Genomic DNA, 17,961 nt, shown 5'->3' on the forward strand with positions numbered 1-17,961 from the left:
GAAACCTGTGACTGCCATGGAGACAGGGACAACTCACACTTCTCAGAGACTATCCACATTAGCATTTTTCTTTGCAGAGTTTATTTGGGCGTGCATTGCATGAGTTTGATATATTCAAAACATGTATTTTTTCATTCCTTTACTTAAAATTTTGGCTATATGCCAAGCCCTAGATCAGATGCAAAAGTGGAAAAGTTTTGGTCCCTACCCTCCAAGAACCCCCATTTCAATGAGCTGGACAGATCTGAACACAAACAAAACCAATGGGATAATAGTATTAAGAGCTAGGGTCTGTCTGGGGATAAGGAGAGCCAATTCATGATGGTGGTGAGTTCTGCCTCATGGCAGCAAGAATCAGGAAGGCTCTGGAGAGTGGGTGGCCTAGAAACTAAGAACTAAAGAGCAGTGGGTGACTTTTGGGGAAGCAGGGTGAGAAGATGAGGGCAGAATTGCCCCCAGAGAGAGCGCCACCAAAACATTCACAAGTTTTTTCTCTAATGGGCCAAGTAGTAAACATTTTAGACTTTGTGGGCCTGCAGTCTGTGTTGCAACTTCTCAACTGATGTAGTACTGTGAGATCAGCCATAGACAACAGGTGAACCAATGGGCTATGTTCCAATAAAGCTTTATTTACAAAGACCGTCGGTGACTGAGGGAAGGCCATCGTGTGCTGATCTCTGTTCTCTTGCACAGGCAAGGTCTCAAGCAGCACTGCATGTTTGGGGGACCCTAGCGGCTGAGCATAGGTGAGGCAGATCCCAGCACCTAAGACTGCTGTAGCATGGGCCAGGGCATACATAGGAAGGGACCCTGAGCTAGGTGTCTATCAGCCTTAACACTCCTGACCATGAGACTCTTAATTCAGATATCTCATTTCCAAGAATAAAGTAAGTACCCCTTTGCTCTCATGGTTAAAATTGAAGGCAACATTATTTTTCTCTTGTGTGACGTGGCGGATTTGAACTGTATAGTCTACATTCCCATATAGCTGTGACACTGTAGCTCGACTAGAGTTACCATCCTTTTTCTCTTAAATGATGGAAATGGGCACATGAGGGAGAAATGTTCAAACTAGAAAAAGAAGAGTGATTCCAGATACCAAAGAGTATTTTCCAATCCTTTTCCTCCCCACAACCAACACAAAACACTGGCACCCTAAAGTTAACAGATATGCCAGGTAAAATACTTGGTAAGCACTAATAATAGTAGCTAACATTTCTCAAGCACTGACTATGAACCAGCTGCTGGCTGAGCTTATTTCATGTATTAGCTCATGTAATCTCAACCATAACCCTGTGAGGTAGGAGCTGTTATTGGCTTCATTTTACAGGGGAAGAAAATGAGACTCGGAAGGTCCAGAATTGGCTCAAATTCACAAAGCAGAGTTGGGATTCAAACCCAGGTCTGTGAAAAAGCTTTTAGGTCTTTAAAAGCTCTCCTTATTCCCAGACAGACCCATAACCACTATGGGTACTACCTCCCTACCAGGTAAGACACGAGGGACCTCCCTCCCCACCTTTAGACACTGATCAAGAAGACCCTGGCCCGAGTGGACTGTGGGGCCCCACATGCTCCCACGTGCCTCCTGATGTAACAACCAGGACACCATGGCAGCTGGGCTCTGGGGCTGTGTGTCCTTCTAACCCCTGATCCCAGTGGTCCATTGATGTGAAGTATTTTACCTGAAACAGACAGATAAGAGGAATCAGATAGGAGACTCCTAGTGCATTCCGAAATGCACTATCAAAGCACCAAGATGCCAGGGAGGCACTCCACAGTGCTGGTCATCGGCTCCCCCGGAAAGACCCCAGATACCTGCCATGCCTGGCACCCCTGTAGTCTACAGCATCAACCACAGGAGATCAGCTCTGACCCCAGGGCTTCAAACACACCGAAGCTGGTCCCTAATTGGATATACTTCCTCTCCAGAGGAGACCAGGGGCACTTGTCATATTGAGTTCAAGTCCCTGGTCAAACTCATGCACTGGCCACCCTAGCTTGCTGTTCTGTCTTCTGTTCTCAGATTCCAGGCTTTTAGGAACAGAATATCCAGACATTTCCATTTTTGTAATAGTGACTCAGGTCAACAATCAGGAGTTGGTGATTATCATAAATTTTGAATTTTTGTCCCGTAAGATACAATTGATTACGTTCTTTTGCTATGAGCAAATGAACAACATAGTAAGTTTTCTGGAAGTTTAACTTTCTGTAGGTGGACACTTACCATCCCATTCATGTTTTTCTTAACGTTAACCTTATAGAAGATTCTCACACTAACCTTATAGAAGATTGCTCTCATGGAGACATGTTTGGCAAGACCATTTGATTTTATAATCTAAGGCCATAAAATGAATTGGAAGCATAGAATTTACAAAATGTTCTACAGAAGGATCCCAACTGAACACAGATGGTGCTCCCATCCAGCACTGTAAGGGAGGGAAGGGGCCAGGAAGCTCATGTTTTTATTAAGCACCTGCTACCCACGTGCCGGGTTCTGTGAATTCATGATCCCAGGTACTGCTCCCAGCAGCCTTCTCACACCAGCCCTACGAGGTAAGTATATATTCTTTTCCACTTCACAGGTCTGAAAACTAAAGCTCAGCAAATCCAACCGTTCTAAGATCACATAGCTAGTTTATAAAGCCACCAGGAGCCAGTGACAGATCTGACTCCTAAACCAGTGCTCTTTCCACTACAACACAAAGCCCCCGAAGTTAGAACACGGAACTAGCTTCTTATGAAGCCTCTGCAAAGCCAACAGAGCGTCTACCTGTGGGAAACCCCTAGCAGGAGTCTATTGTTTCATAGAGAAGTGAGCCAGGAGTTGGAGGTGAGAATCTCTGCAAAGTTTTGCCTATGGGCACAGGAATCTAGGTTTCACTTTAATAATTAAATGTTGGAAACCTTTCAAAACACTCCTCCTTCCTACTTCAACCTTAGCCACATCAGCAGGAACTTCCCAGCCATTCATCAGCCTTTATCTTATTCATTCTGCTGAGCAGGGATGAACCCCAGCTCTCTCACTTCGGTCCCACCCTTCCCAACTCCCCACGCCCAAGTCTTTCAGTGGAACCCAAGACTGTAAGAACGTAGGCCTTGTGAGAGTGAAGGAAGGATGCTCGAACTTGCCCAGGACTCAGGCTTCAGCTTCACAATCCCGAGGAAAGGAATGACATTTCCAAACTGTCACCTTTGTAGCGCTGGGTCAAAGTCTAAAGAGGACAAATAAATAGAGACTTCTGTGGCCTCGTTGTGCCTATTGAACAGGAGAGCTGCATGTCACAATCAATGAGACCTGCACAGCTTGTGAATCATCACTGAGACTAGTTGTGTTTTTAATACCTTTAAAATGAAGCCACAGCATCTATTCTGGAAATGTGGCGTAGGCTTAAAAACCTTGCTCCAAAGAGGATATCGTTTCAGCCAGCATGCAGTGAATATCTGTGGCTACACAAAAAAACAAACTGTCCCGAATGCTGGAGGAGGAAATATGACATTGTGATGCCAGGCAGTTTTCTGTGACACTCAGGAATCTCTTCAATAGAGATGTACAGTGACACTTAGAGCCCCAGAACACAAGGTCTGTCACTAGTAATTTACATAAGATAAGGATAAATTATTGACTGGGATACATCTTACTCATCCCCGACATCTGCTTGGCTGTGGGGTTGGTCATGTAGATAAATATCCTTCCCAGAAAGGATATTTGGCCTTCAAAAAAGTCTCTGGGCTCAGAGTCTGGTCCCTTGGGGTTACATGGAATGAAACCCAGCACTTTATTGCTTTGACTGCCTACTCTTGTCCCTTCACTGCAAAGCCATCATGCTATTAAATAAGCCTAACAAACAGTAGGTGAAGCAGAAAAGACCGATCTCTTTTTCCTCTTGGCTCTTCTTCCCTCCTCCCCCTTTAGGCACAGAGTACCAAGACATTGAGACTGAGAAAACCTGCCCCGAATCACATTCACCTTCAGAAGACTCCTTTGTGAGAAGCTGAGGGCCTGGCCCTCTTCCTCTTCCTGGAGAGAACAGCCCACCACCACCCACAGACCTCGCGGGCCTCACTTAGCGCGCTCCTCCCTGTCCGAGAACCCGAGGGTCCCCATGTGGATTATCCAGCCAGTGTGTGGTCCTTTGAGGCCCCAAGCGCAGGCCTGTGATGAGGACCAAAGAGGTGACTTATGGTCAGGAGTACTCCAAACAGCTCTCAGAGTAGGCATCTTTCCTGGGTCTCTAAAGAGTCATGCTGACCTGGTGTGCAAATTCCCTTCCACCCATCCCTCTACCTCCTCTGGGGATGGCTTGCCGACATGCTTTAGAAACTCCCCTCTTGGGAATGCTCCTCTGACTGAGGGCTCCAACAGCTTTAATGAAATCAGCCGAGAGGGTAAAAACCAACCTGTTGCATAGAATGGAGGGGGGAAAAAGCACATACTCAATAGATTTTTGAGTGTGGTACTCTGTATTTTTGCAGCGTTTATTTTCCAAATGAGCAGTTTAGAAATATGTGATGTAAAGTACATACTGTACGTTTGCTGAAAATTATATTAAAAGCACTATTTTAATTCTTCCTCTGTCTCATGCTCTAATCTCTGTTATCTTTCTTGTGCCTTCAGGTAGAATGATTCTAAAAGATTCTGGAGAGTGTTTCTGGCTATGTGCGTTCTATATTTATGGGCTTTGAGGTTATGGACTTAAGAGAGTATGAGCTTTAGAGCCAAGAGAGACCTGAACTCAAATCCCTACCCCACTGTTGGTGTGATGTTAATGTAGTGATCTGACTCCTCTTAGCCCCCGTTTTACCATTTGTAAAATGAGAATATTAATGCCTACTTTATGCAACTATGGTACGACTTAAATTAGATCATGTGTAAAGGTACCAAGTGCAACATACAGCACAGAAATTGTCATTGTTCATTACTACCCCAACCTCTGGCTGGAATCTAAATGCTCCATACCATGCAGCTTCTACTGGTAACATTTAGTGGTCCTATCCTCTCACTGTCTGGTTTTCATTTCTGATTCTCCCACTGCCTGTAAAGCCTAGGAGACAGGCAATTGGCTTCATCTCACAAAAGCCCCAGTGCATGTATAGTGTATAGTGCCCAGGTACAGTGCATGTTCTTCCGTGGGTGATCAATATGCAAATGAATGAATGATGAACAAACAGCCTCAGACCCAGTCCCATTCCCTCAGTGGAAACTACAGCATTTGCCTCCCTTTCTGTAGGTCCACAAGCTACCCAGTGGCTAGAGCTCTAGTGGCTTTCCCATACCTTGCTAGGTCTCTTCGTAATTGGCTGGACTCACCTCTGTATCTTTATTAATTCACTGGCTGGACTCCAACCTCATATGAGCAGATAGGTTGGGTTGACACCTGCCACTGACTTGCAGAATGGAATCCCCACTGCATTACTCCACTGGCCAGACTGGAGCTCAGGCATGGATGCTTGCCAGAATTCTATCTGTGCTTTGTCTTTTGGGCAAAGCACTTAGAATCCACTTGTCTTATGGGGCTAGCCCCATAACTGACCACTTTTCTTCATAGTCCTCTCCATCCTGAATCTTGTCCTCTGTAGCCCATCATCCACTGCAGCTGAGTTCACCCCAAATCAAAGCTTGTCAAATCTATTATTACCTGAAGACTGCATCCACCTCAGCCTTGAGTTGTCTTTTCACTCTGAGGTTTTAGGGGGTCAGGAAACAATGTGCTTGACTTTCTTCAAGGTCCAATTATAGGCCATTGGTGCCTTGGAGGATCCTTTTTCAGCCTGGCTGTGTTATGTGATTGTTTATTTTTTGCAAAGCAACATGATTTATTCTCTCCAGTATAAAAATCCCAAGAAAATGCAATTTCAACATTCTCTGTCCTGATGTTAAAAGATGCTGAAGCAGCTGTAAAAGTTGTTAGCGGTTCCTCCTGGGCTTCACCTGCACCAGAAATTGAGATGGAGGCAGAAGGGAAAGGAGTAAGGAAAGGCTAGTGCTTAAGGTATCCGTGTGTTCAGTCCCACATTTTACATCTGTTTTTATCTATAGTCCAGTTTATTTTCCCTGGCTACCATTCCCCCATACAGGTGGTCAACTTAAAGAAAACTTATTCTCTCCATTTTATCTCAGCCTTGCAAAGACATATTCTTATAGTCAAGAGATTCATCTTTCAATACTTAAGTGAATTCATGAGAAATCTGTCCATAAAAGCTGTCCAACTATTAATAACTCAGAGAGAATACACGGCTTCATCAGACCCCAAAATGCCCCCTCTTCCCAATGTCCTCTCAGTTGCCATGGGCCACCAGGGCCTTGAACTACATACACAACTAGCTCATCTTCCACGCTTGAAAGTCCAACTCGACCTCTTTCCCAGTCTTCAGGAAAGGGTTAGCCATGCACTCAAGCATTTGGCTCAACCAAAACAACAGCAGGCTGTTTCTGTGGCCCCATAACATGGATTCAGAATCACTCATACATCCCCTTTACAAAGAGCTTTCTGTCTTCTTTTTAGGCTTTGTTACTTAACGAGCTACTGTTATGGAACAGCTTCCATAACTCTTGAGACAAGTGTCTACACTTAATGCACAAGGCAGACTCACTTGCTTTCCTGGAAGCCTTTAAAAAGTCTCTTAACCTTCTTGAGTTATAGCATTTCCAGTTATAAAATACATGAACATGTATTTATGGGATCCCCAAAGGAGGGCACTTCAGATCTTCCAGAATCCTGCTCCTCTGTTGCTCATAAAATTAAGGGGTGAAGTAAAGAAGACAGAACAGCAAGCTAGGGTGGCCAGTGTATGAGTTTGACCAGGGACTTCAACTCAATATGACAGGTGCCCCTGGTCTCCTTCAGAGATGAAGTATTATCCTGTGAGGCCTCTCTACATCACACATCACTGAGGTCTTGACCACAGGACACAGATGCAACTGAAACATGCTGCCAATGAGAAAGAAGTGGAAGACCTCTGTCCCCAGACTCTACACCCCTCAGCTTGGCAGCTGGCTCCTTTCTTCATTCAGAAGCTTACCTTGCCCTCTATCTTATGCTTCCATTTCTGTGGACAATCATTCTGTATTGAGGCAACTATATTTTCATAGTAAAAATTAGTGCTTGATATAAGTTTAAAAAAAAAAACAGCCCAAAGAAAATGACAATTCTTTTCCATTGTTTCTAAAATCATCATTTTCTAGCCCTTCAAGTTTTGTGCAAATGACTAGACATGACAATGCAATACTACAAAAGGAGATGTTCCTTTTCAGCAGGATGTTGGAAATAAGATTTTATTTCCAGTTCATCTGTGCCTGAGAATGTGACTCTTGAAGGGTCACATTACTGCCAATTATTTTCTCAGGTGGTGTCAGTGGATTGGTCCTGACAAAGTCACTGAGGCAGCTACTGGGGAGGAGAATGCAGAGTGAAGACCCGTGCTGGGTGAGGAGGGAGCTGAATGCACATGAGGAGGCCTCACTGCGACCTGGTCTTACCCTCCACTTCCTGCATCCCATGCTCCCTGGGAAGATAGACCCTGAGGAAGATGGTTAGTTTCATTCCATATTTCAAATGGATAGATGTCAGATTAAAGCAAGGCCGTGACTTTTAGCAAGTGAGTATGGACAGGACTCCATGAAGTCCTCTGCACACAGTGGCCACTTCATAACTGGGGGCCATAGGAGAGCAAGATGACTTAGGGGAGGGGTCCTCAACACTCCCGGCCACAGACTGGTACCCGTTGGTGGCCTTTTAAGAACCAGGCCACACAGGAGGAGATGAGTGGCAGGCAAGCGAGCATTACCGCCTCAGCGCTGTCTCCTGTGAGATCAGCGGTGGCAGCATTAGAGTCTCATAGGAGCATGGACCCTGTTGTGAACCGTATATGCGAGGGATCTAGGTTGCATTCCTTTTGAGACTCTAATGCCTGAGAATAGTTTTATCATGAAACCATCTCTACACCTCCCACCCCCACTCTCTCCATCCATGGAAAAATTGTCTTCCATGAAACCAGAAAGGTTAGGGACCGCTGGCATAGGGGAAAGAGCAGGTAACAGGTTTACATCCCGGCGGTTCAGCCACTTTTCAGCCTCGCCAGGTTAGCAAGTCAAGATTCGCTCTAAACCAGTCTTTATGTAGCTATAAAATGGGAAGGTTACAGCTGCCTGCTTGGCAGAGACATCATGAGAATTCAATGTACATGTACAGCCCAGTGTCAGTCCCCGGCAAGTCTCAGGAAGTCATGAGTTTCATTGAGAAGTCTCATTTTTGGCCATATAAATACAAAACCACTTCTATTTGCCAATATTTGTTACCACTCTGCTCTTCGGTAATCCTCTGTCCTGCTGAGTAGTGACTCTCTTGATGAGTTCTCAGTCCATTCCTTAATTTTTTAGTCATTTCTACTTATTAAAAGAGCTTTGCTTCACTCATTAAGATCCAGTCCTGACCATTTGAGAACTTCATCCTCATATACCTTTTAACCCCCACAATGGCAGGCCTGGCCTGTGGCTTGGGGGGCCTATAGTGGAGGAGGAAGTGTGGTCTACCCTCTCCTACCCCTTTTCTCTTCCCTGCCCCAACTGGGCTCCAGATGGAGGTGTGGGAGCTGAAGAGGGAAGTGAGGTACATTCAGCAGACTGCCTGTGGCTAAGCTTGCTGCCATCACTGACAACCACTACTGATGCAGCTCCGTCTCTCAAGTACGTTTGGAGGCAGGCAGGCAGGCTCCAGTAAGCCTAGCTGAAGGAGAAAACCATCCAACAGCTCCCTTCAGCTCTGGGGCTCCCTTTTGAGAGGCAGCTCCAACTCCCAGCAAACTCTCAGTTGCCCGCTGTGAGCTCCACCCCCCTTCAGTAAGCACCCTTTTCCCCTGCATGGATTAGTCTCAGGGAAGCCCATAGCCTAACCTCATCTTTTCCTTTTAGCTTGAACTCTAGGATGGAAGTATTAGCAGGGCTCTTATTCCCCACTATGAGTAACAGATAGCTTCCAAGGGCTGTCCCTGCCTCCCTCCTCCATGGTCCCATCTTTCCAGTGTACTCCCCACACCTCTTCTCAGTCTGCTCTGGTAGCAACAAGACATGTTGGCAAGTCCACATGCTGGGAGGACACACAACCAGTGTGCATACCCCCAAACTCTATGAGCAACTGCTTTGAGAACACCCTTCCCAAACAGTGCCTTGCTTCAGAAACATTACTCTTCTCACCCAAAAAGGTGACCTCTCATGCTCTTCTCCAGCCCTTTGTGTGTTTTGGGAATGGGTGCATATAGGGTGGGTGCAAGGAGTTGGTAGTGTGAGTTTTTCCAAAAGGAGAAAACTCAAAAGATCCTCACCCCACACACCACACCACCACACTATACAAATATGGAAAGAGGAAGGCCAGCCAACAGGTGACAATAATGAGAGATGATACTACCTCCCAAATTTTCATAATGAAAACCCACCCTACACCTGAGCCTTCAACCTGAGTCTTCTAACCTCCAGGTAGGTATGTCTTTGTAGATTTCACACTTAATCAAAGAGTACTGGTTCAAAGCCTGGTATGGAGCCCTGTATCCTCTAAGGACGTGTAGAGAGATCCAAGGAGAACCTGTACTCAAACTTTCAATGTAGATTGAGGCAAGACAAGAACCCACATAATACAAAGACCGCTATCAGAGCCCTGTCTATTCAAGGGCTCCTACTGAGCAGTAAGTACATGACAGTGATGGGCATTTGGAGCGGAGAGAAGCCCTATGACCTGAAATAGCCAGAGGAAGCTTTCTGAAGAACTTGGAGCGTGCAAAGACCTCAAAGGAAATATTTGTCATTTAGGCTTCAGGTACAATGCTTTGCCCTGCTCATAACAATAGGTTTCTGAAAGGAGGCAGGGCAGTGGTTAGAGAAGAAAAATGTCTATGAATAGACACTAGGATAACAACAACGTACCAGGTGCCGGGCGAAATTCTTTACAAAACTGTCTCCTCGTCTAATCCTTGCAAGCCCCCTGTGAAATAGGAATCATTTCATACCAGCCCCTTAGCTGGGGTTTGAGTCTCAGTTCCTCTACTTGCCGTCTGTATGACCTCAGTTTCCTCATCAATAATATGAGGATAATCATACTCACTCCATAAGAAGATTGTGAGGATTCAGCAAGATGATGATTCTAAATCACTTAGTACTGTACCTGGCCCCTAGAAAATATCCAAGAAATATAAGGGCTCCTCTTCTACTTCAGCACATAGAAAACACATTCTCTCACATTTCCAGGTCATCTAACAGAGTGTTAAATTTTTAACAGAGCTAACTTGGATGGGTAAATAATTGTAACAGCAATTATCTCCCTGAGGGCAATTATTTGCCATCACCATTTGCACCCACCGAAATTATATCCACAAGAAACAGAGTCACCCATTAGCAGATAAACGTAATTAAATTGGAAGAATGACATCCAATGGCTGACTGGATTAATAAAAGAAATTTATTCCCTAGAGGTATTTCAGAAATGCTTCTCCAAGCTGGATCTTATTTTTTAAAAGCTTGTACTCTGAATTCAAATTATGTATTAATTCTTTTCCAAAAATCAGCACACCTCTAGCCCTTATAAATACCATGTATTTCTGAGAAGCTTTGACTACAGTGGTTTTATAAACCACACACACAGACACAAATCCTCTTGATCTTTGTATAAAACTACATATATAAAAGACATCATACTTTGTGGTAACGTCGATTCGGCAAATATTTTGACTGGATTGTATGTTTTCTGGTTTCAGAATTTTATTTCAAACAGTAGGCAAAGACCACGGTATATGTTGTCACCTCACACATTTAAACAATTTTTTGCCCTTAAACCCTCCAAGAATAATCATATGCAGATCTGGCTCAAAATACCTTGAAAAAGTGAGTTTATAAACTATTATAATTTCTCATGAATTCCACAACAAACTATTAATAATAAGCAGACTCCAAATTTATGGATCCTGATAAGGGATTTTTCCTTTTCCTTTTGGGACATCCGACACTCTCATTGTTCTTAGGAACACGGGTCTAAGTCTTCATTCCTAAATCTGTCTACTGTTGTCACTTCGAAAGCCTCAAGATAATTGGTATCCGCTAGTTACATGAATTTTTATGCAGCTCTCCGTCTGAGATTTGGTGGCAGTCTACATTGGCATACTTCTTAGGTTCTTGAAATACTTCTGTGAGGTAGAGATAAGAAAGCCATAAAACTTTATTTTACTACCGGAAAAAATCCCAAAGAGGAAAGGTGTCTTTCCCTGTAGCTCTTACTTTGCTCCTGTCACAAAAGAAAGTAAAACCATCTGTCCCAAGATGGCTGCCAGAGAACTACACAAGCTGTTACTGGCCTGGAAGAGCATTTCAATCACTTCTACATTTTCATTCAGAAAAAATGAATTTTCATACAAAGTGATTGCAGAAGTAAAAATGGGTGCATTCAATATCCACTCTGCACTTGACATGCTCTCAGAGTCTAGACCATGGCTAGCTTTGAGAATTTCAAGTTGCATTGAAATGTGCCCTTACAGCAAATCACATTCATTAATAATCTAACCCAATTAGACTACAACTGAAATACAGCCAAATTGCTACCCTCTTCAACTCTTTGGAAGACCATTGAATGATCTTTCTAAATATTTAACCAAAATTAAAATGTTTGGTATTAGAAAGTTTCTTGTGTTGTCTTTTTTTTTTTTTAAATATAAGGTCATCTTTTCTAAGACTAGTATAAATGGATCTTAGTTGTTACATAGTTGGTAGCTGTGTGTATAAATTAGCAAATGTGGTGTAGCAATGTTCTCTACTTCCCTGCCTGTATAGGCTCAGATCTGTGGACATGGCCTTATTTGCACAATTCTGCACATCCTTCTGTGGCATACTGGGTGTAGACAAAGTTCTGTTCCTTGAGTACTGATGAATATAAATTTCCTACCTGCTTTTTGCTTTTCAAAAAAAAAAAAAAACGTGGCTACAGAAAAGACCATACCTAGCCCTGTTCATTTACAAAGATTTCATACTTGGTTACAATCTCAACAGTGATAATGGTTTCATTCATGATAGCACACATAAAAAAGCATGGTAATAAACCTATCAGAAATATGCACTATTTACTTTTTTAAATAGTAAAACTATCCTAAAAAACAAAAGTAATAACTTGAAAAGTAAAGACAATTACCATATTCCTAGATCGGATAGTTAAAACCTGGAAAAATGTGATTTCTCCCAAATGAATCTATAATTTCCATGCAATCCCCAAGAAAATCTCAATAAGAGTTTCTATGGAAATTCATGAACTGAATGCAAAATTCAAATATAAGAGCTCAAGCATAGCCATGGTAATTCTGAAAATAAAAATAAAAATGAATGAGGATTGCCCTTCTCAAAAATCAATATATTAATAAAGCAATAGTGCAGTTGACCCCTGAACAACATGGCTTTGAACCGTAAGGGTCCACTTAAATGCGTTTTTTTCCAACCAAATTCCACATCAAAAATATAGTATTCTTGGGATGCTGTATTAGCCTGTTCCCATGCTGCTAATAAAGACATGCCCTAGACTGGGTAATTTATAAAATAAAGCGCTTTAATAGACTCATAGTTCCACATGGTTGGGGAGGCCTCACAATCATGGCAGAAGGTGAATGAGAAGCAAAGTCACATCTTACATGGTGGCAGGCCAGAGAGCTTGTGTAGGGGAACTCCCATTTATAGAGACTTATTCACTACCACAAGAACAGTATGGAGAAAATCGCCCCCATGATTCAGTTATCTCCACCTGTCCCCACCCTTGACACTTGGGAGTTATTACAATTCAAGGTGAGATTTGGGTGGGAACAAAACCAAGTCACATCAGATGTGAAACCCACCCTATGGAGGGCCGACATATCCTGTAGGTTCTGTAGGGCTGACTGTAGGACTTGAGTATGTGTGGGGGTCCTGGGCCCAATCCCCCATGTAAACCAACGAACAACTATACTTAAAACTAGATCCAAGCACAGTGGCTCATGCCTGTAATCCCAGCAATTTGGGGTCTGAGATGGGAGGATCAGCTTGAAGACAGGAATTCAACTCTAGCCTGGGCAACACACTGAGACCCCGTCTCTACAAAAAAAAAAAAAAAAAAAAATTAGCTAGGCATAGTGGTGCACACCTATAAGGCCAGCTACTCAGGAGGCTGAGGTGGGGGAATTGCTCAAGCCCAGGAGTTTAAGGCTGCAGTGAGCTATGGTCGCACCACTGCACTATAGTCTGTGTGTCAAAGCAAGACCAGCATTCATACAGGACCAGAAGATAGGTCAAAGACTCAGAATAGCAACAAACACATTTATATATGTGTGTGACTTAGAATATATTAATTAAAGGGGAATATTTTAGATTGCTGGGAAAACTGACTATTCGATTAATGGTTTGGAGAGACAACTTAGAAACAAATTTGATTCATTCCCAGTCACCAGTGAAAAATATAAATCTTACGTGATTTACATAGCTAAAAGTGTTTAGAAGCTATAAAGATTCAGGAAAAACAAGAGAATATATTCATGGTTTTGTGGTTTTCTAAAAAGACCTAAAATAAAAAAAAAAATCCATAAATAAAAAGACATAGTTTTGTTTACTTCAAAGTTAAAATATCTATATAATCTACAACAGCATGTATAAAATCAAGAGAATATTTGATTTATAAATTACAAAAAAAAACTGTCAATATATAAAGAATCTCTACATATCAACAAGAAAAAGTGGAACTAGAGCTACTATATCACGTATTTCAGGCTGCCACTCCCATTGTCCTCTCTGTAAATCCTACCGAAAACCACACAAATAATACCAATGGGCACAGCACAAGAGAGGGGCCACAAATGTCCTTTAAGTATTCAAACTCACTAATAATGAAGGAAATACAAATTTTAAAGAGATAATTTTTTACCTAAAACTTTCGGTTAAAATTTTAGATTAATAATATCTCCAGTCAGGGTACAAGGCAAATGCTGGAGTCTTACATGGCGGCAGGCCAGAGAGCTTGTGCACGGGAGCTTCCCTTTATAAAACCATCAGATATCCTGAGACTTATTCACTACCACAAGAACAGTAAAGGGAAAACTGCCCCCATGATTCAGTTATCTCCACCTGGCCCCACCCTTGACATGTGGGAATTATTACAATTCAAGGTAAGAACTGTATGCTGTTGCAGTCATTCCAGAAGACAATCTGGCAATGTCTACTAAACCTGTAAAGGCCTATGCAGTGGGATCCAGAAATCACCTCTCTCAACATCCACCCTAAATAAAGGGATGAGTGGGGATCAGGGAAGGAGGGTTACATGGAATGACAGGATTTAGGTCTTAAGGGATCCTTGGTGATCAAGGGTTGAGTTTCTGGCCACCCTGTCATCTTTCCCACATCATGACCTGCATAGAGCACGGCTGGGCACACAGCTTCATTTCCTTCTACCTCACATTCCTGTTATCACCCCACTGCCTCCTTTAAACCCAATCCATCCTTCAATATCCAGAACAAATATTGTAGAGAACTGTAGTACTCTCTGGGATTAGCTCATTCAGCTTGACTTTTTGCCAAAGGCTTAATACTTTGTTCACATGATAGTTTCCATGGGATGTCCTACCCACCCCAGTTATTCCAGGATGAGCATATCTAAGCATTTTTCAAATATTCCACCTGGGGTCCACAGGCACAAGCCCAGCTTGGAAGTCTTAATGCACCAACAAACTCAGTGATGAGACAGCGGTAGTCCACCGGCTCCACATTGCCACCCCACCACCACCCATTCACCGGGAGTGATAGTTTCTCACTTGATCCCACAGTTCTGTGCTCTCACTGCGCCTTGTACTCGGTGTTACTCATGTTTTGGTCCATATGTTACATTTCCTCTATTGAGTTCTATTCCTTACAGACGATATCTATGTCTTGTTTCATTCTCTAACCCTCACAGTGCATAACACCTTATTTTTAAGGTGTTAACATAAGGTTAAATATACACATAAAGGTACACTAAATACTCTTAATTTCATTTCTGTCCTACAGACTAGAAAGATGGATAACATAGCCAGGGGGAAGGTCTGACACCTAAGGCTATTTCTAACCACATGCATCTTCTGTCATTGACCAAATCTCTCCTAAGATTGTATGAGGAAAGCCAGAACTGAAAGTTACCTTGTTATTCCCCATCTCCCTTTAGCTTAATTCAAATCAGCCGCTCAGACTGATAACCCTTTATGCCTAGATAAGACTTTAGAGTTCCCAAGATTTTTCTACAACCAGTTGTGTTTTTCTTGATTTTCTAACAACCCAGAGAAATCATCTGGGGCGCCAGGGGCTAAGTGACTTACCCAGTGGCCACTTGGCTAGTAAGTGGGAAAGCTGGAATTAAAATCTCAGTGCATTTTCCTCCAATATTTGAGTGTTTCCCCTCCCCATACTACTTCTGTCTTTGCAAATAAATCAGGAGTCAATTCCTCATCGGAGGTGTAGATAGATATGAAATGGGACCAGAATCCAGTGCCTGTTAGGGTCTACTAAGATTGCATTTTCAAGCAGGTTGAATTGCATGGGTCCAGGGAGTCAAGTAAGATTTTGTAGTCTCTGGAGCCATTTCTCCAGGGCCGTCTTTCCAGGAGACAACTGTGATTTGGCCATCGGGCTAAAGTAGAGCCCTTGTATCAGGGAAGAGTGTGTCAGGCAGGAGCCTTTGGGGTTATCAGTCTTCTCTGAGCTCTGGAATGGGGAATGCATGCTTCTCAGCAGATTGGAACTTTCAACATAGGCATCTTCAGGCTGACAGACCAACCTCATTTCCTCCGACAACAAACCAAGGCTCCAGGTAGTTCAGAGATACCCTGAACTTCAGACTTGGACCCATTTATGACTGCAGCATGGGTCCTTTTGCCTCTTGATCTAGTTCCTGACTAACCCTTCCTGAGGTCCATGTTCTCCCAAGACACTCTGAATACAGCTTGATTTATGTATTTCCTCTGAACCTCTCCAGTACAAATTCAGCAGAATGGGCCACTCTTCTTCCAGAAGAGCCATGCCAACAGTCTTTTGTCCTGGGACTCCACTGAGGCCGATTTATAAGGATTAAGGTCATGTCACCTCTGAATATTCAGAACCTGGGAAGCTGTGCTCCCCTCTCCTCCAAAGATCCCTTTGGATATTGGCTAACATCTTAAATTAGGCAGGCCTGGGCTAGTGTGCCCTAACCCTACAATGTTTTCAAGTCTTCTGGGAAGAGGTTTGGGCTCTCTTCCCCAAAAGATCCTCAAGACAGACCCCCCGAGATTGCTCCTGCACTTCCTGCCCCCACTTAGCCACAGGAAACCATAGAGCCTCCTGAAAGGCCTGAGCACCCACCAAAGTACAACAGGTGCAGACTGAGGTATGAGGCAGTTTTCACAAAATAAGCAGGACAATTTCTCATTATGCCAGATGGCAAGATCAAGTGACCTGCGGTGCAGGGAGCCACTGCTATTTTTCCTCCTACTGCCATGCCCTGAAAATGCAGATTATCCCAGAGGGCAGCTGAGAAGTAAAAATAGCAGCTGTTATTTATTGAGGCCCAATTATGTGTCAGCTACTGTCCTAAGTGTTTTAATTTATCTTCACAAACTTATGTGGCAGGTACAATTATGTCGGTTTTCCGAAAAGGAAAGAGATACTCAAAGTCCCTCCTAAGAATGGGTAGAACTGGAGTCCAAGCCCCAACCTCTGTGACTTTGCTCCCAATAGAGGGCACTGGCCTTGCATTTTCTAATCTTGGAAGAATTATATTAATAGTTGATGGTAGTGATGGGAATGGTAGGTTTTAGGGATAAAGCTCTTTTGGTTCTTCCTGGAAAACCTTCTATTGCAATATGGTGGGAACAACCAGACCCTGGAAGGGTCCATTCACGTCATTCACACAAGCCATCAATGCTGCTCACCCTGTGGTCTCTGTTGGGTCTAGGATGACTTGTTAGTCCCAGGATGCTCATATCACGAAATGATTCAGGTTTCACAGAGACTGTGGCACCTGAGGCAGCTACGGGAGGAGCAAGCATGGCCCCTGGTTGGCTGCCAACCCTCAGGCCTCATGACACTGGCTTGCTTACATCAATATCAGAGAGAAACGGTGGTGGTGGTGAGAGCAGTGTGGACACTAGAAAGAGTCAGCAACATACCACTAACAGGATGTGGCCATATCCAGGGAAAAGCCAGCTCAGAAACTGGGGGCAGACTTCTCTGGACACAGCCTGCTGCGGCACGTGCATGTTTATGTGTACGTGATGGGAAAGGGGGAAGTGGTCAGTGGTCACTGTCTCAGCAGGAGTAGCAGCAAAGGCCACAGCGCTGACCAACAGAACTTCCAGTGATGGTGAAGATGCCCTAAGTGCTGCGTTCAGTCTGATAGCCACTAGCACATGTGGTTTTTGAGCACTCAAAATGTGGCTAGTGCAACTGAAGAAGGGGATTTTTATTTCAATATTAATTTATTTAAATGTAAATGGTCACTTAAGTCTAGTGGTTATTATACTAGGTAATGCAGGCCTAGAACATTGCACTACATACCACTTGAAGAGGCTGGGAAATGTGACCCTCTCCTCCTGCAGGTTTCCTGTCAAAGGGTTGGAAAGGGTCCCTGAGGAAGTATTAGTTTGGATTCCCTAAGATATTGCAGCCATGACTCCTTTTTCTTTGTCCAGGAAAAAGAAATATCTGCTGCAAGATTTAGAGACCAGAGTGAGGTCATTACTGTATCCTGTATGTCCCCATCACTGGGGGTCTCCAGAGCTGGCTCTCTCTTGGCCACTTTCAAGCTCTCTTCTGGGGCTCAGAGGAATTTCAGCTGCTGTCTACCATTGCTGGGCGCTCTAGGAAATTTAGACTATTTCAGGATCTCTCTGCTAAAAAATAAAAAATATGCCATGCAGCCATTTTATGTCTATTCCTCCCATGCTAGGTGGGGTCTACAGACTTTACCAAAC

At 43.5% G+C, this 17,961-nt stretch overlaps 1 protein-coding gene across 1 annotated transcript in view, besides 1 other annotated feature; it reads left to right on the forward strand.

Annotated features, from left to right (window-relative positions):
- Window positions 1-4,569, forward strand: part of SLCO3A1 (solute carrier organic anion transporter family member 3A1) — a 318,728-nt gene extending 314,159 nt beyond the window's left edge. Inside the window, exon 11 of the mRNA NM_001145044.1 lies at window positions 3,914-4,569. Coding sequence (NP_001138516.1) covers window positions 3,914-3,996 — 83 coding nt within the window. The 3' untranslated portion in view covers window positions 3,997-4,569. The remainder of the gene's footprint in view (window positions 1-3,913) is intronic.
- Window positions 3,073-3,367: an enhancer, noted in NCBI's record as "tiled region #10912; HepG2 Activating DNase matched - State 8:EnhW". NCBI's record gives its function as "activates a minimal TATA promoter and a strong SV40 promoter by Sharpr-MPRA in HepG2 cells {active_cell/tissue: HepG2}" and the evidence as "EXISTENCE:reporter gene assay evidence [ECO:0000049][PMID:27701403]".
- Window positions 4,570-17,961: the final 13,392 nt, after the last annotated feature.

Source organism: Homo sapiens, chromosome 15 (genome assembly GCF_000001405.40).
Source record: "Homo sapiens chromosome 15, GRCh38.p14 Primary Assembly".
Lineage (NCBI taxonomy): Eukaryota > Metazoa > Chordata > Mammalia > Primates > Hominidae > Homo > Homo sapiens.